At 48.7% G+C, this 26,256-nt stretch overlaps 1 protein-coding gene across 2 annotated transcripts in view, besides 2 other annotated features; it reads left to right on the top strand.

Annotated features, from left to right (window-relative positions):
- Nucleotides 1-26,256, top strand: part of SH3PXD2A (SH3 and PX domains 2A) — a 261,550-nt gene that overhangs the window by 25,553 nt on the left and 209,741 nt on the right. The window lies entirely within an intron of this gene.
- Nucleotides 21,786-22,287: an enhancer, noted in NCBI's record as "H3K4me1 hESC enhancer chr10:105567495-105567996 (GRCh37/hg19 assembly coordinates)". NCBI's record gives its function as "activates a minimal SCP1, AML or CMV promoter by ChIP-STARR-seq in naive H9 embryonic stem cells {active_cell/tissue: H9 hESC(naive)}" and the evidence as "EXISTENCE:reporter gene assay evidence [ECO:0000049][PMID:30033119]".
- Nucleotides 25,408-26,251: an enhancer, noted in NCBI's record as "NANOG-H3K27ac-H3K4me1 hESC enhancer chr10:105563531-105564374 (GRCh37/hg19 assembly coordinates)". NCBI's record gives its function as "activates a minimal SCP1, AML or CMV promoter by ChIP-STARR-seq in naive H9 embryonic stem cells {active_cell/tissue: H9 hESC(naive)}" and the evidence as "EXISTENCE:reporter gene assay evidence [ECO:0000049][PMID:30033119]".

Below are 26,256 nucleotides of genomic sequence, written 5' to 3'. Positions count from 1 at the left end.
CCTGAGTCTACCTGGGGTGGGGGTGGAGCTGCAGACCTTCCCCAGATGTCACCCATTCACAGAAGCCAGTTTTGGGATTTAGCTCTGTTTAAATTGGGACCTGTAGCTTTGCTTGCAAGTGGAAATAAGTTGGTCTTATTTGCTGGGGATAATTATATGTAAAAGAATCCTACCTAATGCAACCCGACTTTTGGCCTGAGCCATTCAATGGATAATTAGTCCTAACTGTATTGCTGGAGTGGACCATTACTGAAGTCTTACCTTTTTTGTCCTTGCTTTTACCTTGCCTTGTTCCAGCAAGGCTTAAGCATAGCTTTAGGTCCTATGTTATGCGCATGTTATGTGATTGTCTGATTGATTACATTATAAACTCTGCACAGGCGGCATCACGGTCTTTCTGCCCTTTCCTGCCTCCCTCCGTCCTTGCACTGCCTTGCTTCATGGAGCTTTGCACTTAGCAGGTGCTCAGTAAATACTTGCTGGGTGGTTGACACAGGATTACATGTTAATCCATCATCTTCAAAGGCTAGAACCAGACCTATTTAAAAAAACAAACAAAATCCTTCCTTTTAAAAGTGGCATTACCTTCTTACCCTCACAAATGTTCATTTTAGTCGCCTTTATTGCTTTCTGGGGTAGGGGGTCTTAAGGGAGTAACTCAGAGAGCCTCTTTAACTTAAAAGAGGCATAATAAATTACAGTCTTTAAGAGAAGATCGGATGCCTGCGTGCCTCCCAGAAGTGGGTTAGGAGCACAGAATTCTAGATGGCTCCTTTGTTTGCACCCCACCCTGTCTGCAGGGCTGGCCTCCCACAGCAGTGTGTGGTATCCTACAGATCACTATTAAATAAACAGTCCCTTGAAATCACAACATTAAAAAGTGCTGTCTATGTATTGTACCAGGAGAGCCAAATATTATGGAAAAGGCCAAATATTTCCACTGTGTTAAGAAAATAAGAACCCAGCAGCATGGAACTTCCCACTCAGTAGGCAAAAGATGTGGTGGAGACTTCAAAAGGGTGGAAGAACCATCAAGACAGCTTGAGCTGCAACGGGTGACTGCCCCATTAAAAAAAGCAAGTGTGTGTGTATTCCAGATGCAGCTGCAGAAATCGCAACACCACCTTTCAACTGGGAAATAAATGAATGCACCAACGTATGTATCGTGGCTCACCCAAGCAATCGTCCAACTGTGACTAGGGCTGGGGGAGAGGTTAGGAGGAGAGAGGACGAAGTACAGAACACAAACAGTCTTTGTTCTCCAAAGACCCAAAAGGCAGATTCACAGGAAGAGATTCCTCATCCTGGTCTGAAATGAAGATAGACACTTGGCCATAGGGCTGATGGCTCTAGCAGAGGCCCTGCCCTTGGGATCTCGGCAGCATCTCAGCCAGGAGGGCTCCCTGACTCTGGAAGTGGAATATTGAGTGATAAGAAGTTTGGCTTCTCCCACCCACTTTCCACCACCAGGTAGAGCTTGTGAAGCCTGAAAAGTCTGTAGGGCCAAGCAGCCTGACTTTCATGGAAGGAGACCCAGGAGTCAACTTGTTTTAATTAAAAAGTTAGGTTGGGTTATCTCAGGGCCACCCCCAGGGAGGGTGATGCTTCCAAGCTGACCAAATTCTGAGCTGCTGAGCTGCTTACTTTAATGAGCTTGGGGAAGCTCATTTGAGGAGTGGTGGTAAAATCGCTCACTGGACTTGCAACATGAGAATGTTGTTCATGAATCATCAGGAAGAACTCCCAGGTGTGGAGAATGGACTCTTGTTCCTTCAGCTGATTTGGGACCTGGCACTCACACTCGCTTACTAACTTTCTCTCCCTAGCGTAAGCATTCGCTTCCTGCCTAGAGTCTGGCTACCTACCCATCATCCCCATTACCCAAAATACAAAAACAGAGAACTGTAGCATCTTATTACGTAGACTTTCCTCTCTCCCAAAAGATGTGCCAGTGCCCCTGCCTGCCGTGCCAGGCCCTGCAGGGATGATGATCATGGTCTCCAGCATTTACCGAGCTGTAATTCTGCACAGGGAACCAGGCCAGGCTCTGTGCACCTTCCTAGAGCCTCACAGCAGTCCTCTGCGGGGCACGACTGTTCTCATCCACTCTTGTCATCCCCGTTTTACAGCTGAGGAACCAGTGGCTCTGGCAGGTGTTGGGACGTCTGCCCATGGTCACGTAGACTGTGTGGCAGAGCCGGAATTCAAATCTAGGCCCCATGACTTCAGTACTGCTCTATCTGAGGACTATGCAGAGATGGCATAGCCCCTCCTTCAAAAGCTCATAGTCTAGTTGTAGAGAGCAGAGCTCCTTGCATGGACAAATAATCCACCAGGCCCAGCAGAACTGGGTACCACAAACCGCATGGGATGTCTAGGAAGGGGCTGGAAGGAAGTCACGGTGCACTGAGAATGTGGTGTGCCAGGCGGTGTGCTATGTACCTATGTGTCCATGACCTCTTTAATTCTCAAAGCACTCCTGTGAGGTTCACTTTACAAATACAGGACTGAGGCTCAGAGAGTCATGTAGCTTGCCCAACACCACACAGCTCATGGGTGGTGGAGCTGGGCCTGAACCCACATGTCTTTCTAACTCCAAACCACATTCTCTTTGCATGATACCATGATAGACACTCCATTTCCGTAGTGTTACCGGGAGTGAAGGCCTTGAAGGATGGGTGAGAGGTGAGAAGGGAGAAAGGAGGGAGTGGGCATTCCAGGCTGAGGGAAAGGAAGAGGAGTGGGCCTGAGGAGCAGCAGGAATTCCACCAGCCCCGCCCAGAAGTGGCCCAGTTTTTATCACCATCCCAAATACATCGCCTTGGTGTACATGAACTTGCTGAGGGCCTAGTTTCCATGGCTCCGAAGAGGTGACATCTCCCTCCCACCCCTCATCCACCCTGAGCTCCCTGGCTGATTTATTCAATGTGGTCATCTGCAATGGTTGTGGACCTGTCAGGATGACAGATTCGCCTGGGGACATCCTCCTGTGGAAGGAACTGGATTCATCCCTTGATCACTTCCATGCCCTGTGGGTCTCTCCCTACCTCTTGCTCATTCTACGAGTTATCCCTCCATTAGCCGGGCCGAAGCATCCTCCAGGCAGGGTTTCCTAATTACCTAATGGTGACCATGCTACCCTTTGCCAACCTTATGAAAAGCATGGCCATGTCCGTTATCTCATCTGATCTTTTGCTCTTCCAACCAGCATTTATTAAGTGCCTACTGTGTGCCACACACCATATCAGGTGCTGAAGATTCACGGGTGAACCAAAACAATTTCATGCCTGGAGAGAAGGGATGTTACAGAGTAGCTGAGATGACTGACATTAACCAGAATTACAAAGTGCCCGGCTCTAAAATGTGCTCCGGGACCTGGAAGGAATTACACTCACTAGGGGGAAAATTCTAGCATGGACAGCCAGTTCCATCAGAATCCTGGGATCCTCTGTCTCCTAGGATCTGCATGTTTCTCAGTAGATCTGAAGCTGTTTGATCACCTGCAGGAGCTGGGGAGTCTGCTGGAGGCCTGGGATGGAGTTCTGGGCTTAGTCTGGAGAGAATATGTAAACAGGTGCAGCCTCCTTAAGGAAACCTGAGAGGCAGCACCACACAGTGGAAAGAACAGTTTTGGAGTCCAACAGACCTGGACATGCATCTGGGTTTATATCTGTGTGACCTTAGGCAAGTCACCGAACCTCTCTGAGCCCAAGTATCCTCACTTGGAGAATAGGGATGATGATAGCATGGATGTGCCTGAAATGCCCAGCCAGGAGCCCAACACATGGTGACCTGAGCAAACATGGGCATCTTTATTAGCTAGAGGTCATGAAACTCTGGATGTGCAAAGCAGGCCAATTTGTGATTTGTTTAATTTACAAGATTTCTCATTTTATGAGAAAACTTGCTGACAATACTTTCATATTGGGAGCTCCTCTTAGGTTTGAAAAATAAAATAATTGGCCGTGCACGGTGGCTCACGCCTGTAATCCCAGCACTTTGGGAGGCCGAGGTGGGCCGATCACGAGGTCAGGAGATTGAGACCATCCTGGCTAACATGGTGAAACCCTATCTCTACTAAAAATACAAAAAATTAGCCGGGCGTGGTGGCGGGAGCCTGTAGTCCCAGCTACTCAGGAGGCTGAGGCAGGAGAATGGCGAGAACCCGGGAGGTGGAGCTTGCGGTGAGCTGAGATTGCGCCACTGCACCCCAGCCTGGGTGACAGAGCGAGACTCCGTCTCAAAAAAAAAAAAAAAAAAATTTGTTACGGATGCTGTGTTTTACCCAGGAGCACCCTGTTCTCAGCTTCATACAGAACTAAGCCAAGTGTGTCAGTGCTGTCCGGAAGGAGAGTCTCTAGGGGCATGCCACAGGACTCTATGCTCTGTCTCTGACCTGGAATGTTGGTCAGTGACTTGGATGATATTTTGATGGCATCCTGTTCACATTTACAGGTGACCAGGGAGGAAGGAGAGAGAGTGCTTAGAACTGAACAGATGTAAATGTAATGAGTTTCGAATGAACAATTCAAAGAGGAAATTAAGAAAACAATTCCATTTTTATTAGCATCAAAAAGAATAAAACACCCACCTCTTGCAAAATTGAAACTGTATCAATTAAATAATAACTCCCCTTTCCCTCCTCCCTGCAACGCCTGTTAACAGCCATTATACCTTGAGTAAATTCTCAACAAATGATACTGTCCTAGGAAAAGAAAATGTAATGGGCGCTGATGAAATCAGCGGCCCAAGTGTAGGCAGCAGGAGGTTTGGTTTTCATGGAAGCAGGTGTGTGAGGTGTCAGGGTTGGGGTTGTTTGGGAGCCAGCAGAAGCCAGCAGTATAAATGCCTCTCCAAATCCTAGGGATGCATTCACAGAATTCACATTTCTTGGAATGCATTTGTAGAGGTTTAGGATTTAGAAAGTTTAGAGAGAGGCTGGGCACAATGGCTCAGCACTTTGGGAGGCCTAAGCCGGTGGATTACTTGAGCCCAGGAGTTCAAGACCAGCCAGGATAACTTGGCGAAACCCTATCTCTACAAAAATACAAAAATTAGCCAAGCTTGGTGGTGCACTTCTGTAACTCCAGCTACTCAGGGGGCTGAGGCACGAGAATTGCTTGAATCCGGGAGGTGGAGGTTGCAGTGAGCAGAAATCGTGCCACTGCACTCCAGCCAGGGTGATGGAGTGAGACTGTATCTCAAAAAATAGAGAGATGACATGGCAAGAGTTGCTTCCATTCTGCCCTCTCTGCCTGTCTACACCTGGTCTACACAGGTGAAGGTTGGATTCAGGTCCTGGTGTACATTTTATGAGAGCAGGGTAGGAGGGCAGCCTGGATGGTGGAGACACAGGACTGGTCACCAGAAGCCACAGGAAGTAGGGCTGGTTATCCTCAAGCCGAGGGGATGCCGGGAGAGGGGCTATGTGAAATGTCCTCTTTCAGGAGAGGATTTTGATATGTTCTCTGTGGCCCCAGAGGCAGAACTAGTGGGTATGGGCGGGCATTAGCAGGAAGTAGATTCAGATCAGGATAAGGAAAATGTTCTCAGAGGCTCGGTGGATGCTGTGTGGCTTCCCCTCCGGGTTGACCCAGCCTCTGTGCTGGAAGCTGGACTTGCCTGGGCAAGGGCTGAGTTCGGGACTGCTTCAGCATTCCTCCAAATAAACCTCCCCTGGCCACAGAAAAGCCCAGAGAACAGAGAATATTAGAAGCTAAGGGAGAGCTTGCAGTTATTTCCCAACTCTGCCCTTCCTCATGCCTTCCCATTTTAAAGACGAGGAAATCAAAGCTCCAAGCCACCGAAAGAAACAAACTCCATGCCTGCCCACCCTCCCCTTGGGGCCACCTGGAGGTTTCTGCAGAAGGAGGGTGCTTGGTCTGAGCCAGTCAGTGGATGAGGGGTTTCCCAGGGGAGTGCCAGGTCAGGCACATTCCTCAGAGCTTCAAAATAGCCCCGCAAGCCAATACATTTCCTCCCAGGGGTTGGGGAGTGGCCGTCAGCTGGCAAGGGACAATATGAGGGACACATCTCAGGGGACACTCTCGAGTGAGGCATTAGGGTGTGGGTGCTGAGATGTCTCTTTTCATTGTTCTGCAGGAGTGAGTGCGGCCTTGACACGCTGACTGGCCTGGCATGGCTGTCCCAGCTGAAGCCTGTCCCCTGCCCGCTGCCCTTCTTTCCCTCATCTCAGCCATGTCTGCAGGCACCTCCCTGCCTCCCACTCCCTAGGCTCACCAAGCTCCCTCAGCTTTCCAAAGTCTGTGAGTTGTAGTGTGAGGCCACGCCATGAGGCAGGGACAAAACACAGGGTTTGGAATCAGTCCCACCGGGACTGGAATCCAAGCTCTACTGTTAATACATCCCAGCTGTGTGACCTTGGGCAAGTCACTGATCCTTTTGGACCCTCAGCATCTTCTTCTGTTAGATGGGCTTGTACCCATCCCAAGGATTTGTATATGGGTTACATGGGCTTAATGATGTATGGCTGTCTCCAGTGCAGAGCCTAGCACATGGAACTTGCTAGGGTGGCCTCCCTCTGTGCCTCAGTTGCCATGAAATGGTGGAGCCCAGTGATGAGGCCAGCCAGAATAATGCTCCCAACCCTGTAAGGGCAGTGGTTAAAGCCAGTCTCAATCAAGGTGGGTGTTAAGGGTCAACTCTGGCCTGAATCAGGAATGCCACCTTCTTACACAAAGCCAGCATTGCCTTCAAGGTGACTTCTGCAAAAGAGACGGATTTTTCTGCACGCTGCTTTTCTCATGGCATCCGTGGCACATCCTCTCTCCCTGTCAGCAAACCTAGGCTACCTAGATTTTGAGACAGTTGCAAAGTATTTATTCTGAGGATTCCCAGGACAACTTGATGGATCCTGCCAAAAACATCTTTGAACATATAACTTGACACACTTTTGTGAATTTATTCCCCAAGATAAATTCCTAGCAGGGGAATTGGTGGGTCAGTTTGCATTTCTCATTTTGATATATGTTGGCAAATGGCCCTCCTGAAAGAATTCAGCTCCCTCCCACGAAGTCTGAGACCTATCTATTTCCTCATAACTTCAGCACCTATCTGACCAAACGTGATTGTTTCTGTCAGCCAGATAGAAAAGAAATAACATCTTGTCGTTCTGATTTGGCTTTTTTCAGTTACACATGAGATGATGGAGTGTCTTAGCATGTATGGGTTAGCCATATGTATTTCTTCTTTGGTAAATGCTTATTTATATTCTTGGTCCATTTAAAAATTTTTTTGGGTGGTTCAGCTTATTACTTTGGGTTTAGAGGATTGTTCCTTGGAGAGAGGGGGTATTCTCTAAGGGGGCTTGGTGGTGGTATTCAGATCAGTTTCCTTTGAGGCTGTGAGTTAGTTAGAAGTAAGCTTCTTCACCCTCCCTGGGAAGAGGCTGCCCTGAGCTTGCTCCAGGCTTCCTGGGGTCCTCGTTAACAGGCATGAAAGTGCTGCTCCCCCCCCACCATGCCCTCATGGCTGAGTGCTGCATCAGGGCAGAGCTTGTGTGAGGCTGAATGAGAAGTTTGGTGTTAGATTTAGGGAATGGGGGGCCATGGCAGGATGCCAGGGAAGAACCTGTGTATGTGTGCAGCTGTGTGAGAGCTCCAGAATTTCTGCAGGGAACTTGGACAGCTAGGGGTTACATCTGCATAGGAAGCACCCTGTCTTTGCTTAGAGTGTGTATTCCAAATAACAAAAAATAGCAAGTTTAATAAAGTTGCTTTTGTGCACAGTATGTATAACATCCAGAAAAGGTCAATGGCCTATTACTCAAGAGAAATAATTACACAAATAAGTCAAATGAGAAGGATGAAATAAGGCCAGGCGCAGTGGCTCATGCCTGTAATCTCGGCACTTCGGGAGGCCGAGGCAGGCAGATCACCTAAGGTTAGGAGTTTGAGACCTGGTGAAACCCTGTCTTTACCAAAAATACAAAAATTAGCTGGGGATGGTGGTGCATGCCTGTAATCCCAGCTACTCAGGAGGCTGAGGCTGGAGAATTACTTGAACCCAGGAGGCAGAGGTTGCAGTGAGCCAAGATCGTGCCACTGCACTCCAGCCTGGGTGACAGAGCAAGACTTTGTCTCAAAAAAAAAAAAGAAAAAGAAGAAGGATGAAGTAAGAATAAAATAATAACAACAGGGCCAGGTGGAGTGGCTTATGCCTGTAATCCTAGCTCTTTGGGAGGCCGAGGCAAGAGGATCACTTGACTCCAGGAATTTGAGACCAGCCTGGGCAACAGGATGAAACCCCATCTCTACAAAAAATACAAAAAATTAACCCAGCATGGTGATGCGCCCCTGTAGTCCCAGCTACTGGTGGTGGGGGGCAGGGGAGCTGAGGCAGGAGGATGGCTTGAGCCCAGGAGGTCGAGGCTGCAGTGAGCAGAGATCATGCTATTGCACTCCAGCCTGGGTGACAGAGTAAGACCCTGCCTCAAATAATAATAACAAGAACAACAGATCTCCCACTTGTGTCTGGAGCTGGCTGATGGAGATTGTCAAGGTGGGGATTAAGCCTCCCTTGGCACTGCCACTGGTGTTAGAATTCCCAGGAAATCTAGGAAATAAAAAGAATGAACGCCAGGTGTGGTGGCTCACGCCTGTAATCGCAGCACTTTGGAAGGCTGAGGCAGACGGATCACTTGAGGTCTGGAGTTCGAGACTAGCCTGGCTGACATGGTGAAACCCTGTCTCTACTAAAAATACGAAAATTAGCTGGGTATGTAAAATTAGCTACTTGGGAGGCTGAGGCAGGAGAATCGCTTGAACCCAGGAGGTGGAGGTTGCAGTAAGCCGAGACCGCACCACTGCACTCCAGCCTGGGTGACAGAGCAAGACTGTCTCAAAAAAAAAAAAAAAAAAAAGAATGAACGACCATACATTAAATGTTTTCTGTGGGCCAGGCACGTGCTAAGTGCTTTGGATGCATTATCCCATTTAATCCTCACTGAAACCATCAGAGGCATACCCTCTTATTACCCTCATTGTCTAGGCGAGGAAATGCAGGGTCAGAGAAACTCGTTGATTTGTCCAAGATCTTACACCAGTTAAGAGGCAAAGCTAGGATTGAATCCCTGAATTGGTTTTGGCTGTACACATTGGGCTTCCCTGTGTTTCTCCCCGGCCCTGACCCCTTGGTTAAAGCTGGGGGAGATGCCACTTAGAGGGTAGAAGACAAGGGAAGTTCTGGCCATGTGCGCCAGCCCCTAGCCACCCTCTGGAGCCCAGTTGGCATCTCAGAAGACATGGCTGGGAGGGGCGCCCAACCCCCCCGCCCCTTATCTGGGGGCTTTGGTGTGCAGCCTGGGAGGGCTGGAATCTATAGCTCACGCCTTTCCCTGCATGGGCCTGGGTGTGAGCAAGGGTGTGGGGAGGGGACAGGCTCACTGGGGGTGGGCTCTGGCCAAGCAAAACAGGCTGAGGTCAGAGGGAGGGGGCCGCCCTCCCCAGGGAATGCTTGGATGACGTGACTTTGAGGGGGCACTGGGGGAGGAGGGCTGGCTGTGTGTTTCTCCTCTCACCTCAACCTCAGCCTGATGAGGAACCGGGGAATTGGGGCGGGAAGCCCGACCAGATGCAGCCCCTGGCAGGCTGCCCTGGCCGCTGCGCAGGACTCTTCTCCAGCCAGCTTGGCAGGTCCCTTCTTCCCCTCCTGAGGGGACCTGGGAGCAAATGACGTCCTGGAGTTGGCTGTGGCAGAGAGGAGGGTCCCCTCTGGCCACACGGAAGGAAGGGGCAGGGAGAAGCAGCTTGGGGGCTCAAAAGAATCCCCTTTCCTCATTCCAGTTGCTCCACATTTTGAGCCAAGTTTGGGAGCAGGAGGGGAGATTTAAAAGGTTTGCTCTCAGATCCGGTGCCTGGGAGCGAATTGAGCGTGAAACAAAGTCATTGACTTCTGGCACTTAGTTTCTCTCATTTTTCAAAAGTCGCTAACGCTCCCTGCATTGAATGCCTCAGGGTCTTAGTCACTCTGAACTGTCCAAAAATGAGCAGGTGAAGCACCCTGTGCCCCTCCAGGAACTAGGGTCTCCCTGGGGAACCCACTCCCACTCTGAGATCTATTCTAGTCACTCCACTGCATCCTGAGTGTGGACCATCTGGGGGCCCAGAGCCTTTGGGGTGAGATTTCTTGATCTCTAAGCAGCCCCTCCTGGGCTCCCATCTCCCCCCCTCCTCTAGGGACCCCACGCATTTCACTGCCCACACTCTCTCTCATTGCCAAGCCTGCTTCATCGTCCTGCCTGCCCCCTGCTCCAGGGCCCTTTGCTCCTTCTGGGCTCCCTCACATGCTCATCTATTCCTCCTTCAGCCCTTAGATCTCCCCGACACCTGTTCTCGCCTCTCTCTCCAATCCCAAACTATGCCAAGTTCTCCACCGAAGAAACACTTCAGCTGGCTTTGACCTTGTGCTTCTTCGCCCCCTTGCCCTCCTCCCTCTTCTGCCCCCATCATTCCCTCGAGCCTCAGAGCTGGGACTCAGTTTACCTCCTGCCTCTCACTGCCTTGGGCTCCAGGCTCCAGTCACCCCAGCTGGCCCTGGCTCTCCCAGGGAACTCAGGCTGTGTCATGCCCCCTCCCCTAGCCCTCAGCCTTTGCTTATGCTGTTTCTTTTGCCTAGGGTACCCTTCCACCACCACAACCCTCACCTCTTCACCCAGCCTACCTTCCTTATCTGTCACTCTGGCATCACCTCTGCTAGGAAGCCTTCCAGAGTGGTGCCTCTCCTGGGGTTCCCTGGGAACAGGCACAGCTCTTGACCTAGCCTTACAGCACATTGTCCCTTAGTACTGCTCTTTCTCACCACACCAGAGCTCCCTGGGACTGGAGCTGTGTTTTATTTGACTTTGTGTTGCCAGTGTCTAGCACAGAGCCCAGCACGTAATAAGCGCCCAATCCTTCTTGACGGGACTGGACTGAATTTTATCAGACAAGTAACATGGCTTTACTGAGGATCTACCAAGTCATTAGACGTTGTAGAGAAAACAAAGGAAGCCCGGATCAAATATTTGCTTTCAAGGACTTTGTAATCCAGTCAAGAATGATTCTGGGAATGGGTTGGGGGAACGGTCAGGCATGAAATTGGCCATCTGAGTCTCCAGTGCTGCAGTGGGCACTATGGTTGCAGGTGCCTTGTAAAGGTTTCAGAGAAGGGGAGAACTGTGAGTAGAGGGGGACCCAGTGAGGTCTGGAGAAGGGGTGGAGGGTGGGTGAGATCACATGGGAGAAGGCTGGCCCAAACCCACAGTCAGGACTGGGAACTAGGGGAGAAATGTGTTTCCAGAGAAGGTGAGCCGATTTCACCTAGCCATAGGATCTTCCAGTGTCAGAACAGGGTTAGTGGATTTTAAGTGCAGTTTCTCTATCCTGGAGGCCAAACAGGAGCTGATGGCATTCCCCGTTTTGCCGCATGATTGGGAAATTTTTCCTGCACATCAGGGTCTACCGGGGCCAGTGATCTCTCCAGGCAAAGAGAGCAGGATATTTTAGGAATCAGTTCTTTCCAATTCTCAGTGTTAAAGAGCCGGTTTCTTTGTTGCTGAGCCTGGGGAACCAGGTGTGTTCTCTTAAAGTCAGCCTTTCTCCTTAACCAGCCAGGCACAGCTGCTGCTGTGTGCCAGAGTTGGTGATGGGCAATGTGATCACTGCAGAGATGATTGCAGAGGTCCAGCATACATTTCCCCAAGATTAATGGACATAGCATGGCGTCTACCCACACAAGCATGCTGTGCACCGGAGGAGGGGGCAGAGGGAGCACCAGGGCTGAGGCAGCCCAGGGAGATTTCTAGGAGGTGGTGGGTCTTGATTGGCTCTTGCAGGAATTAGACAGGCTGAGAAGATGGAGAAATAGAGTTCTTTCTGACAAGAACCCCTTAACCAAGAGGTACATTGTCTCCCTTCTAACTTTTTAAACAATAGCTTTGCTGAAATGGAATTCATATCATACAATGCAACCATTTGAAGTGTACAATTAAATGGTTTTTAGTTCATTCACAGATAGTGCAACTCTCAACCACAGTCATTTTTAAACATTTTCATCATCCCAGAAAGAGGCCCCATTAGCAGTCTCCTTATCCCTGACAGCCACCCACCCACCCCACAGCTCTCGGCAACCACAAATCTACTTTCTCCCTATATATGTTTGCCTTTTCTGGACATTTCATATAAATGGAATCATATAATGTGTGGTTGCTTGTGTCTGGCTTCTTTCACTCAGCATAATGTTTTCGAGATTCATCCATGTTGTAGCATGTATCAGAACTTCATTCTTTTTTATAACTGAATAATATTCCATAACACAGGAACAGAAAACCAAATACCATGTGTTCTCACTTGTAAGTGGAAGCTAAATAAGAACCTATGAACACAGGTAAGGCATGGTGGCTCACGCCTGTAATCCCAGCACTTTGGGAGGCCAAGGCAGGCAGATCACATGAGGCCAGGAGTTCAAGACCAGCCTGGCTAACATGGCAAAACCATGTCTCTACTAAAAATACAAAAATTAGCCAGGTGTGGTGGTGCACATCTGTGATCCCAGCTACTTGGGAGGCTGAGGCAGGAGAATTGCTTGAACCTGGGAGGCAGAGGTTGCAGTGCGCCGAGATGGCACCACTGCACTCCAGCCTGGGTGACAGAGCACAAGAACTTATGAACACAAAGATAGAAACAACAGACACTGGGGCCTACTTGAGGGTGGAGGGTGGAGGAGGGAGAGGAGCAGAAAAGACAACTGTCGGGTACTGGGCTTTATACCTGGGTGATGAAATAATCTATACAACAAAGCCCCACGACGTAAGTTTACCTGTATAACAAACCTTCACATATACCCCTGAACCTAAAATAAAAGTTAAAAAAAAAAAAGAATAGACCGGGCATGGTGGCTCACACCTGTAATCCGAACACTTTGGGAGGTGGGCAGATTGTCTGAGGTCAAGAGTTCAAGATCAGTCTGGCCAACATGGTGAAACCCCATCTCTACTAAAAATACAGAAAAAAAAAAAAAAAAAAAAAATTAGCCGGGTGTGTTGGCACACACCTGTAATCCCAGCTAGTCAGGAGGCTGAGGCAGAGGAATTGCTTGAACCAGGGAGGTGGAGGTTGCAGTAATGGCACCACTGTACTCCAGCCTGGACGACAGAGCAAGACTCTGTCTCAAAAAAAAGAATAATATTCTATTGTATAGATAAGTCACATTTTATTTGTTCATTCCTCATGTAGTGGACATTTGAGTTATTTTCATGTTTTAGTTATTACATAACATTACATAATGTATATATTTTATAATATAATGCTGCTACGAACATTTGCATACAAGTTTTTGTGTGGATGTAAGTTTTCATTTCTCTTAGGTAGATGCCTCAGAATAGAATTGCTGAGTCATCCGGTGACGCTACGTTTAACCATCTGAGGAGCTGATAGACTGTTTTCCAAGGTGGCTGCACTATTTTACATTCCTACCCACGGTGTATGCAGGTGTGAATTTCTCTACATCCTCACCATCACTTATTATCTGCGAGTTTGATTATAGCCATCCCAGTGCATGTGAAATGATATTTCACTGTGATTTGATTTACATTTCCCTAATTGCTAATGACTTTGAGCATCTTTTCATGTGCTTATTGGCCATTTGTACCTCCTCTTTGGAGAAAAATCTATTCAGATCCTTTGCCCATTTTAAAATTGGATTACATATTTTTATTATTGAGTTGTAAGAGTTCTTTTTCAATAAAAGTTGCATGTATTTCAAGTCTACGACATGATGTTTTAATACACAATACATAATGAAATGATGACTACAGTCAAGCAAGTGACCACATCCATCACCTTACGTAGTTCTTTATTTTGTGTGTGTGTGGTGTGAGCACTAAAATCTACTCTCTGGGCATACCTCTTGCATGCAATACGGTATTAGTGATGGTAGTCCTCAGGCTGTACCTTAGATGTCCAGACATATTCACTCTACATACTGGAAATTTGTATCCTTTGACCAACATCTGCCATTTTCCCTACCTCCTCACCCCTGTCACCACCCTTCTCTTCTCTGCTTCTATATATTTGGCTCTAGAATCCATATATGAGATTATACAGTATTTTTCTTTTTCTTTTTCTTTTTTTTTTTTTGAGATGGAGTCTCGCTGTGTTGCCCAGGCTGGAGTGCAATGGCATGATCTCAGCTCACCACAACCTCTGTCTCCCAGGTTCAAGCGATTGTCCTGCCTCAGCCTCCTGAGTAGCTGGGATTACAGGCGTGTGCCACCACACCCAGCTACTTCTTGTATTTTTAGTAGAGACGGGGTTTCACCATGTTGGTCAGGCTGGTCTCGAACTCCTGACTCCGTGATCCGCCTGCCTCGGCCTCCCCGAGTGCTGGGATTAGAGGCATGAGCCACCGCACCTGGCCCAGTATTTTTCTTTCTGTATCTGGCTTAGTTCACTTAGCATAATGTCCTCCAGGTTCATTCATGTTGTCAAATGGCAGGATATCTTTTGTTAAAGTTGAATAATATTCCACTGTGTGTGTGTGTATATTATATATATAATATATATAGTATATATATTATACACTGTATATGTGTGTGTGTATATTGTATATAAATACATATAGTGTATAATATATACACTGTATATATTATACATATATATACCACAATTTCTAAGAGTTCTTTATATGTTCCAGATATAAGTCCTTTGTCTAGAATATTTGCAAATGACTTGAAAATATTTTCCCCCATTCTGGGGATTCTCCTTTTACTTTCTTGCTGATGTCTTTTGAAACACAAAAGTTTTTTATTTTGATGAAGTCCAGTTTGTTTATTTGTCTTTGAGCTGTGGTTTTGGTGTCATGTCTCAGAAACCCTTGACTAATTCAAGGTCATGGAGATTTGTGCTATGTTTTCTTCTAAGACTTTAATAGTTTTCTCTCTCGCATTTAGGTCTCTCATCTATTTCAAGTTAATTTTTGTGTGTGATCTGAGGTCCTTCTCATTTTGTACTGAGTCAAACTGAAGAGCCCCCCACCTCCCCAGTTGGCCTGCCACACTTTGCCTTCTGCATTTGGGTCTCAGCTCAAACATCCTCACTCCAGGGAGGCCTCCCCTGTCAATCTAAAGCAGCTGCCTCCCTGCAGTTTCAGTCACCACCCCATTTTATTGGGGCCGTCAGAAATGGTCTGACATGTTGTCTGTTGCCTCCCATATAAGCTCCATGACAACAGACCCTGTCTAGCTTACTGCCTTCGTTTCTAGCACCTAGCGCAGTGCCTGACACTTAGCCAGAGCTCAGACTATTATTTGAAAGCTTCTTTTGGTTAAAAGAAACATTCCCAGTGGATTTTGCTTAAGACTTTGTAAGTGTCTCTGGCCTCATGGAGTTGGAGGGCTGAGTGGGAGGGGATCTACCAGCATCACAGTCACAGGTGGTCACTCGTCCCTTGCCCCAGCCATCCCATTACTTCACAAGACAGCCCCTTCCATCCTTGGACAACTCTGATGATTAGAAAATTCTTCCTGATGTTGGACAGAGACCTGCTTCCCCATCGCTGGCACTCGTTATCCACTGCCTTCCTTTAGGGACAACTGGAGTTGAACTTCACATTTTGACAGTCCTTTAAATATTTGAAACCAGCTATCGTATGTCTCTTAAATACCTCCTCTGGGCTGAGTGCTTCTAATTCTCTCAGCTGTTCCTCCTGGAGCCGAGAAGGGCTGGACTCTGACCCCTTAGTCGCTGATGAAGGCCTGCAGACATGGGGTGGGCACAGGCTGCCAAAGAAAGCCCCAGCACAGCCACAGCTCAGAACGAAGGAACTCGAGTCTCCTTGTTTGCTTTCCCCACTTTGAGCTGATGAATTCCAAAACTGGAAGCAGAACTTTGAGAAAAAGCACCCAGTACAAACTCCCTAACTAGATATCTTAAAGGCAGAGCTGACTCTTAGTAGTACAAATTACTCTGTAATATTGCTTTCTATTAAAAGGGTGTGGTTTTTTTTTTGTTGTTTTTTTTTTTTTTTTAGCTAGTCCAGTGGTCTTTTTGATGTTGGTTCAGCTTAGTGGTTCTCAACCCTGGAACAACCCGTAGACCCACCTGGGGAGCTCTTAAAATTATCAGTGCCTACCCCACCTTCCAAGATTCTGATTTAAATCCTGTAGTGTTTTTAAGGCACCCCAGGTGATTGTAATGTACAGCCAGGGTTGTAGACCTTGGCTTCAAGAGCTCAGCATTGAACCTGAAATTCCCTACAGCCCCACAAGAATGAGCAAATGCTGGATGTCAGCACAACATCCAGGAGCTGGCATGAGCCAGAGGACTGGCTAAGAGGACTCAATTATTTTCTAAGATGGAGATTATGAAAGCTATACATGTTCAAAAGAAATGAAATAATATAGAAATGTTGGCCAGGCACGGTGGCCCACACCTGTAATCCCAGTACTTTGGGAGGCTGAGGCAGGAGGATTGCTTGAGGCCTAGAGTTTGAGACCAGCCTGGGCAACATAGCAAGACCCCATCTCTACAAAAAAATTAAAAAATTATCCAAGCATGGTGGCACATGCCGATAGTCCCAGCTACTGGGGAGGCTGAGCGGGGAGGACTTCTTGAGCCCAGGAGGTCAGGGCTGCATTGAGCTATGATTGTGCCACTGCACTCCAGCCTGGGCAAGAGAGCGAGACTCTGTCTCTAAAAAGAAAAAGAAAAAAAGAAATCTATAAAGTAGAAAGCAAAACTGTTCCCATTTCTCCTCTCTCTCATTCCATGCAAATAACCATGATTATCAATTTGTTGTATTTTTTTCTTTTTAATGTGCATAGACACACACATATGCAAACTTCCCCCCATACAATCCATCCCCCAGATAGATTTAATCATATGGTATACATAGCATTATAATCTTTTTTTTCTTTTCTCAAGATACTATAAACCTTTTCCCATAATGATATAGAAAAGTCCACCTTATCTTTAGTAGGTATATGAACCATAATTTATTTGACCTTTTTTTATCAATAGACATTCAATATTCCTTATCTTTATATACATACACACACACATATATACACACACATACATGCATACACACAATTGTGTGGATAAATTCTTAGCGGTCAAATTGCTGAGTCAAAGGGAATGCAAGTTTGGCGACAGAAATTGCCGAAAAGCTCTCCAAAATGATTGTTCTTGTCTCTCTCAAGCAACGAAATTTCTAATGACAGCTATTTGCCTTGTGTCAAAAGTTGAGCTTTGCTGAGCACAGCAGAGAGGAAGGTGTGAGTGTGTCAGATGGTGGGGAGGAAGCCCAGGGGTCATTTCCCCTGCAGGCTGTGTGTGGAGGCGGCTGCTGGCCTCTGACTGCTGTGTTTCCCAGGAAAAGGAAACCAAGCTGTGTGTGTTAACCTTTGCCATTCTCTCCAGGGTGTGACGATGGAGTGGGGCACATTTTCAGGATGTGTGTGTCGGGGTCAGTAGGCCTGGGTCAGTCATTGATTTGGGAGTGTGTGGAATGAGAATCCCATTTTCTGACCCTTTCCTAGACCCACTGGGTTGTTTCCAAGCCCCTTGGAAGCCCAGGAGTGTAATTTTTTTGATGGCTCAGGAGAGGATATATTTGTTTAATTTCTAGGACTCTGGCTCCTGAATGTCTGGGAGCATTGAGCTTTTCCCCCTGATTTCCATTGCAAGGTTAGCCTTATCACCTCAGCCTAGGCACACCATCGCCCTCTCTGGGCTCCTGGGCATTACCCAAGATGTCCACTGCCCACTGCTGGGCCTCTCCATTGGAGTGCCTGCTGGCTCGAGGTGATCAGACTTGTTTGCTCTGCCAAGCTGACTTGGGACCAGAGGGTGGTGGCAGGATTGGAAGGAGGAAGGTACAAAGGTCCAACCGCATGCTCTCAGGTACTCTGGAGAATGTCCCAGTGGTGACATGCCCAGAACTCTGTGATTGCAAAGTGGGCTCTTGCCAGGCCCAGCACTTATTGGTGCCCCAGAATCTTCTAGGGGAAGAGACTAAAATTCATAAGTGCAAAAGACTGTGCTAGGCACTTTGCAGGGGAAGGGAAGTCACATTTATTAAGCGCCTACAGTGTCCAAGGCACTGTGGTTGTTCTTGCGTTCTCATTAATCTTCACTGTGAGGCAGGTATTCTTAACACTATTTTATGTGTTTATTTTATGGGGTATGGAGGCTCAGAGAGAATAATAACTTTTCATGAAATTGATCCGATTGATTTTAAACTATGCAAAATAGAGTGCTGATCCCCGCAAGGATCCCTAGCCACCTGCCTCATGGGCGGCCTCAGTATTGACAGATAGATCATTGTCTCTGTCACCAACTGACAGAGCTAATTGAGCCACCAAGGCAAATCTTGTGGCAGGGACTCTGTCTTGCTCCAGGCAGTCTGCTGTCGTTATTAAAGAAGACAAAGAGTTCAGGATATAGAGTGAATGGCTGCATTTGAATCTGAGCTTCATTACTTGTTACAAATATGATGACCTCGGGTAGACCAGTTACCTCTCTGGGCCCTAGTCTCTTCACTTATGAACTGGAGACGATAACAACACTTTTCTCATAGGACTATTGTAAAGAGTAAGTGAGATAATTCAAACAAAGTGCTTAGCAATGCCTGGAACATAGTCAGTACTCAATACATTGGCATGGCCATTAGTGTTTCTTTTACTCCTGATCAATCAATCCCATTGTGCGTGTAAGAAGGTTTGGCGGAGCTGACTCTTTGGACTGTTTTTCTTCTCGTTCTGGGGGCTGTAAGGACAGAGCTGTGACTGCCTAACTTTTGAAAGGTCCATGTAGGATTGTGAATCCTGGGAGTTCCTAGTTTATACACTCATTTCCCCTCCAGGAAACATGAAGAAAAGAAAAAGTGTCCAGCCCCAGAGGGGCCAACCGCAGCACGTTCATCCTTTCAGCGGACGCTCCTGGGGACCGTCATTGTTTTCCCAGCCCTGGGCAGCAGAGCTATTTTTTGCTCCTCTGCTCTCCCAGGCTGGCCTTGGTATTAGTAGTGGTTCCACCACTGCCGTGTGTGTGTGTGTGTGTGTGTGTGTGTGTGCGCGCGCGCGCCTGTGTCCATGTGTGTGTCTCCGTGTGTGTGTGTCCATGTTTCTGTGTGTATGTGTCCCTGTGTATGTCTGTGTCCCTGTATGTGTGTGTCTGTGTGTGTGTGTTGTGTGTGTTGTGTGTATGTCTGTGTCCCTGTGCCCTACTTCCTGCTCCCCTCCTATTTCTAGTCATAGCCTCATGATCCAAGTCTCACGGCAAATGGGAAGAAGTCAGTTCACTTCCTGAGTGTCTAAATAGCCCACATTCATTGGGCCACTTTGCACATTGCTAGGCCCTGTGCTCGGTGCCCCATGGGTATCACCACATTTAACGAGACACTCCCGTTAGAAACCACACTTCGCAGCAAAGGAAACCCTCACTCAGAGGGTCTAAGACACTTGCCTAAGCCCACGTAGCAGGGACATGTATGGATTGAAATTCAAATCCATCAAGTGGATAGATTTGAATTTGAAGTCATCTTCCTCCTGTGTGAAGCCAAGACGGCCTCTGGTCCCTTCTGAGGCTCACTTCTCGGCACTCCATTACTCATCTTGCACTGTCCCTCCGTGATTTGTCAGTGTGCGTCCCACTGCCCCTGCTGGGCTGTGAGGGCCTGGAGGTTGGATGCTTTGCCTCATCTTCTCTTTAGCTTGTCTCTAAACCAGGCGCGAGGTCAGCACTCACTGGATATTTGTTGGTTGCTTTGTTCTTTCACTGATGAAGGGAACAGTAAGTGAGCATCTCTTAGGTGTCAAGTGTGGTGCTGGGCACTAGCATGCCACCAACCACCTTCAGGAGGCTTCCATTCTAACAAGGAGACACAGAGTCAGCTCCCTGAATCCTCACAAGAGCCTCCAAAAGGTAACTACTGTGATCTTCATTCTGCAGGGTAATAAGTAGAGGCTCCAGCAGTAGGGAGGCTTCCTCCAGACCCTCTCACCTACTCATTACCCTCCCATTTAAATAAATAGTGGGGCCGGATGAGGTGGCTCATGCCTGTAATCCCAGCACTTTGGGAGGCTGAGGCGGGTGGATCACCTGAGATCAGGAGTTCAAGACCAGCCTGGCCACCCATGGTAAAACTCATCTCTACTAAAATACTAAAAAAAAAAAAGCCTAGTGTGGTGACACACGCCTGTAATCCCAGCTACTCAGGAGGCTGAGGCTGGAGAATCACTTGAACCTGGGAGGTGGAGGTTGTAGTGATCTGAGATGGCGCCACTGCACTCCAGCCTGGATGACAGAGCGAGACTCTCTCTCAAAAGAAGGAAGGGAGGGAGGGAGGGAGGGAGGGAGGGAGGGAGAGGGAAGGAGGAAAGGAGACCCATGATTCCTGCAAACAAAGGCAGGCACTGAGTGTGATGGGTACCTGCTACACACTCTTGAAGGATGCTCCCTACTGTAGAGGCATTTGCCATTGTCCCCTCCTCTGAGTCTCTTTTAAAAACCCTTTTCCCCAGAGAAGGTCCATCTGGCCCAGGTCTGCAGTAGAAGCGTCTGTGTTTTGGAGGCGACTGGTGGATGTGTGGTTCTGGGAGGAACCTTCTCCTAGCACATTATACCCCCTCCAACTCCCAGAGCCCTTCTGGGGTTCGCTTCTGCTGCATTTACTATGACTGATTCTGAATACAAAGTCCTGTTGTCAGATGGTCTCAGGACTAGAAAAGTCCTGCTGCCTGGTCATTAGCCTTATAGTCAACCCGTGAGTGTGTACTACCATGGAGGTCACCCTCCACTACATCCAGGCTTCTAAGTGGTGGTTGTTCCCCAAATCTGCAGCGTCACCTCTCTCCCCACCCTAAGAATGAACACCCACTCTAGAGGAGGGGTTGGAATTTTAATAGGGCCCTACCCTGAGGGTCCTCATCGTTCTCAGGCTGAGCTCAGAAACCTTAGCCAAGTGGCCACAGGCTGTTGAACTTGATTTTGCTGGCAGGGTTTTAGGTTGGCAAAGATGTGTTTGTATTCTGCTCCTAGGCCACCAGGGATTTGCTTCTGGGAATGGGGACAGTCTCCAAGTGTTGCTACTAGCCACCTCTTTGGCATTTCAGAGCCAGTGAATTTGATTGGCATTAGATCAGCCAGTCATTATCTCAGTGTGTCCAGCAGACTGGCAGGCCTAGTGAGCCTCGGGGGAGAAGAGGAAGATAGTTTGCATGGATAGGGAGACCTGGGAGGAAGACAGACTCACCTGTGTTGAATAGAGACCAACACAGCCTGTGTCAAGCTGGGTGTTCTGAGCCAACAATTAGCAAACGAAGGCAGATATAATAATTGACTAATCATGGAAAGCATACTATGAGCACCACAAGGGATGGTCACAGACTCGCCAGGCTAGTGGGGGTCCAGATCAGATGTCGGAAGTCTGGGGAAATTTTTATCTGGGTGCAGCCATGTCAAGAGGGGTCTTTAGGCCAGGCATGGTAGCTCGCATCTGTAATGCCAGCACTTTGGGAGGCTGAGGTGGGCGGATCACTTGAGGCCAGGAGTTACAAACCAGCCTGCCAACATGGTGAAACCCTGTCTCTACTAAAAATACAAAAATTAGCCAGGTGTGATGGCAGGCACCTGCAATGCCAGCTAGTCAGGAGGCTGAAGCAGGAGAATCTCTTGAACCCAGGAGGCGGAGGTTGCAGTGAGCTGAGATCACGCCACTGCACTCCACCCCGGGTGACAGAGCCAGACCCTGTCTCAAAAAAAAAAAGAAAAAAAAAGAGGGGTCTTTAACACCAGGGCCTTTACTGCTTCCCGGTGGTGTGCAGTGGGCCACAGCAGGGAGGAGATGGGGCTCTGGGCCGGCGTTTGATGTAGGCACTCTCATGGGGAGCTGCAGCCCTGGAGTCCTCTGCTCTGCTGGGTGGGCTGCATCTAGGGGACCAGCCTGTACTAATTTGGAGTATATGTGCCTCCTTCTTACCAACCCCCCCATGATAGAACCTTGTACATGGGGGCACTTTGAACAGAAGGTTAGAGCCTATTAGTACCTTAGACGGGCTGGCAGCATCTTCTTGGGTAAGAGCCTGACAATGATGAACTCCACCAGGAAGCCAGAGCGGTGATCGTGTCCCCACACGTGAACTCCCTTTTTCTGGCTGCTCAATCGTGTTCATTTTGATTTCTGGGACCATATGCTTTAGCAGTCAGTCCCAAATGTTAGCTATCCCTGCATCCCCAGACTCCGAAGATTTGGGTAAGTTAAAGAGCTGAGGGTCTTGAAGAGATCGTATGACCTCAAGGACCCTAGAGAGCATTGACAGCCCACCCAGGGGAACAAGGAGCATGTACATTAGAATAAGGCACACTTTTCTCAGCGTGGCTGCAGTCCTGAGCCAGGGTGCACAGTTTGGGATGTAAAGTATAGGTTAGATTTCACACCTACATGTCCACTTGACCAGGCAACCACTGGGCAGTGAACAACTTGCCCAACTGTATACAATGGCCCTAGTGCAGCCAGCTGATCCCAGCCCCATGGTCATGTGAGCAAGTGAAGGAAGATTGCCATTGAGTTTCTGTTTGGCCTGGGGCCTGGGGCCAGGGGCAGCTGGTAGGAGTCCAGGGAAAGTAAGGCCTTCCTCAGTAAATGGGACCACAGTACCATGGAGATATGCAATTTCCTCCATAGCTCCTAACTCCTTGCCTCTCATTGTACATTTTGTAGCCAAGGGGGCAACAGGTACTTACCAGCACTTTCTAATTAAACACAAGGCGGGTCCTAGGCCTTCTAGGAATGGTTGGGCTGTGTATTTGCAGTTTCTAATTGGTCCCAGACCAGATCAAATCATGGACATCCCTCCACAGAAATGGGCTAGGCTTCATTCTCAGTGCTCTGGAGCTGCGCTGTAAGTCTGGTTTGCATCAAGGCCATTTTCTTGTTGAAAGGAGCAAGGCTAATAGAGGACAGAAGCACCCACTGGGAAGGCGATTTTGGAAACCTCAGACATTGGTGGGCCTTGTGAGCTGAGCAGACAGAAGGCAGCCCAAGATGACCTCTGGATGGGTGGGACTGGTTGGGCCAGAGCGTTGCGCTGGGTGTGTAGCGAGAGTTCCCACGCAGTGTCTGTGGTGATGATTCCACTCCTCCATCAAGAGTGAGCATGGTGGGAGGGCCTGAGCCCCTGGGTCCCCTCAGTCTGGACTGACCCAGGGGAAGCTGGAAGCAGTTGCTAGCCTCTAGCGAGCCTTCATAGACGCCTACCATCTGCCTGAAATGGCTGGAGACAGGGGAAATAGAATCCATGGGTTTTTAAAATCCAGAAGGAAGAGAAACTCCACCCGTGAAACATAACCCCAAGTAAAGCGTTTGGAAGCAGGATATTTAATTGCCAAACTTTTCTTGAGACCCAGCTGCCGGGTAATGTTATCTTGACTGCTCCTGAGGCTGGAGGAGAGTCTATCTGGGCCCCCGATGCAGGCTTGTAAACAGAGCTGGCTTTCTTGGATGACCTCTGCCCTGTCCCCCTTCCCTGTCACCTGTTCTTTCTCTGTGGTTTCTCTCTGAAGTTTCCAGTGCTGGCAAGGCCAGCTCAGGGAGACTTAAGAAGCTCTGGTGTTGAGGTTGGGAGCTAGGCATGGGCTGGGGTGGAATTTTGTGTGTCCATCACCCGCCTGGAGTGATAATCTAGGATGTCCAAGGTTTGGAAGAAAGCAGACGAGAGAGAGGGGTCTGGAGATTGTCCTCGTATCTCTGGGCTTATCTCCAGGGAGGTCTCTTGCTATTTCCTCAACCCAAGATTTAGACTCTGTCCAGGGGGGTAGGCTGGGGGGCCTCTGGCAAATCCCCGAAGTTTGGGAGAACCTGGGAATGGGGGCTCGCTTCCCCATCCTTCACACTGAGTCACATTCATGGCTGCTCAGGGCATAGAAAGTAGGGTGCAAGATGTTAGCAGGAACAATCCTTTGCCAAACAAGGAAAGAACTGCTTTTTAGGGGGAAGTGTGGCTGTATCCTAGCCGGGTGGCTGTGGCCGGCAAGGGCCACAAGGACAGCTCTCTGTCAGCTCTTCCCTCTGGCTGGCTCTCCAGCGGGGTGTATCTTTAGTATGGTTTTAGGCCAAGGGTTAAACAGAGATGACTTCGTGTGAATTTTCAATTTTTGTTTTTAAAATAGAGACAGAGCCTCACTATGTTGTCCAGGCCAGTCTCAAACTCCTGGGCTCAAGCGATCCTCCTGCCTTGGCTTCCCAAAGTGCTGGGATTACAGGCATGAGCCACTGCGCCCTGCCCTTTTATTTTTAAAATAGAGACAGAGCCTCACTGTGTTGTCCAGGCCAGTCTCAAACTCCCGGGCTCAAGTGGTCCTCTTGCCTTGGCCTCCCAAAGTGCTGGGATTACAGGCATGAGCCACCATGCCCTGCCAGTTTTCAACATTTCTGAAGAGTAGAGGGCAAAGAACTTTTCCGAGGGGGGATGCTCTGGTCATGTGCAGAGTAGTCCTAGGCTAGGCTGGGAAGTGGGACATCTGGGTTCCTGTCCCAGCTCTGCCACCAATGGATGTGAGCACACTCCAGTGATAACCATGTTTTCATCAGTACTGGCAGCCCTGAAGGTTGTGTCCTTTGTATAGAGAAGGAGTCTGAAGGCCTGAGCGGCTGGGCTGGGGTCTTGCAGCCAATAAGGAGGGTGCTGCACCCACATGTGGCTAACTCCAGAGTCTGCTGCTTCCTACCTGGCCATGCCCTTTCCTCGGCAAATCACCACCCTGGCCCCTGGGTTTCTCCTCTGCTAAAGGAGAGGTCTCCCTGTATCCTCCCAGCTGCCAGGGGCTGTGAGCCTGTGATTGATTCTCTCTGGGAGGTGAAGGGAAGCCTAATTGCTAGTGGGATGGAGGATGTGTGTTAAGCCTCAGTTAAGCCCTTCCCCTGGGCTCCGCTTGGTTGGTTCCGGAGAAAGGCTGATGTCTAATGTCCTGCAGGCGAATGCAGCCCTCTCTCCAGGGGCGGATTGGCCTCTTGGGCCCTCCTCACATTTAGCTCCTGGGGTGGAGGTCAGAGAAACAGCACCTGGTGTGGGCTCAGCCTCTGCTCCTGCCCCAGGGCCTGTGGGAAGCAGAGATGCAGGTGGGAGGGGAGATGGAGCTAGGAGTCAGCAGGGGGACCAGGGTAGGTAATAACCCCCAGGAAAATCCCACAGCATTGAGTTTGAGGGGGTCCTCACCGTCAGTCGGTTTTGTAGCATTCCTAACCATTTGCTTCTGTCTGGGCCCCCAGTTCTGTGTCTTCTTGGTCTCAGGCTCTTAGAAGGCGCCTTTGTTCCTGCATGTTCCTCTAAGGTGCACTCCCTCAGCAAGAGCACCGCAGGCTTCTCAGACCACCCACACCTTTATTTAAAAAGATGGTGTCAACCGGTCAGATGAGGTGGTTCATGCCTATAATCCCAGGACTTTGGGAGGCTGAGGCAAGCAGATCACGAGGTGAGAAGATCGAGACCATCCTGGCTAACATGGTGAAACCCTGTCTCTACTAAAACATACAAAAAATTAGCCGGGCGTGGTGGCGGGTGCCTGCAGTCCCAGCTACTTGGGAGGCTGAGGCAGGAGAATGGCGTGAACCCGGGAGGCGGAGGTCACAATGAGCCGAGATCACGCCACTGCACTCCAACCTGGTCGACAGAGACAGACTCCGTCTCAAAAAAAAAAAAAAAAAAAAAAAAAGATGATGTCAACCAAAAATAAAATTTGAAGGCCCCCTGCAACCATCTGAATGTACTCCCTCCTCAGCCCGGGCACCCTAACATTGAACCTGAAAGACTGGTTCAGGCCATGACAGGAAGTGGGGATCAGACATGATTCATTATACTCCTGCAGCATCAATATCAATGCAGACCTAAGATCTGATAAGAAACATTTACAATCTGTTCTCTCTGAAGCCTGCTGCCTGGAGGCTTCATTTGCATGATAAAACCTTGATCTCCACAAACCCTTATCTTAATCCAGACACTCCTTTCTAATGGTAGTAACTCTTTCAACCAATTGCCAATCAGAGTATGTTTAAATCCACCTATGACCTGGAAGCCCCTCGTCCCCGACTTAGAGTTGTCTCACCCTTCCAGATGGAACCAATGTAAATCTTATATGTATTGATTGATGTATTGTATTTCCCTAAAATGTATAACGCAGGCTGTACCCCATCCACCTTGGGCACATGTCATCAGGACCTCCCGAAGCTGTGTCGCAGGTGTGTCCTTCACCTTGGCAAAAT

Source organism: Homo sapiens, chromosome 10, assembly GCF_000001405.40.
Source record: "Homo sapiens chromosome 10, GRCh38.p14 Primary Assembly".
NCBI lineage: Eukaryota > Metazoa > Chordata > Mammalia > Primates > Hominidae > Homo > Homo sapiens.
Note: the sequence above shows the minus strand (reverse complement) of the source record. Positions and strands in the feature narration are given on the sequence as shown.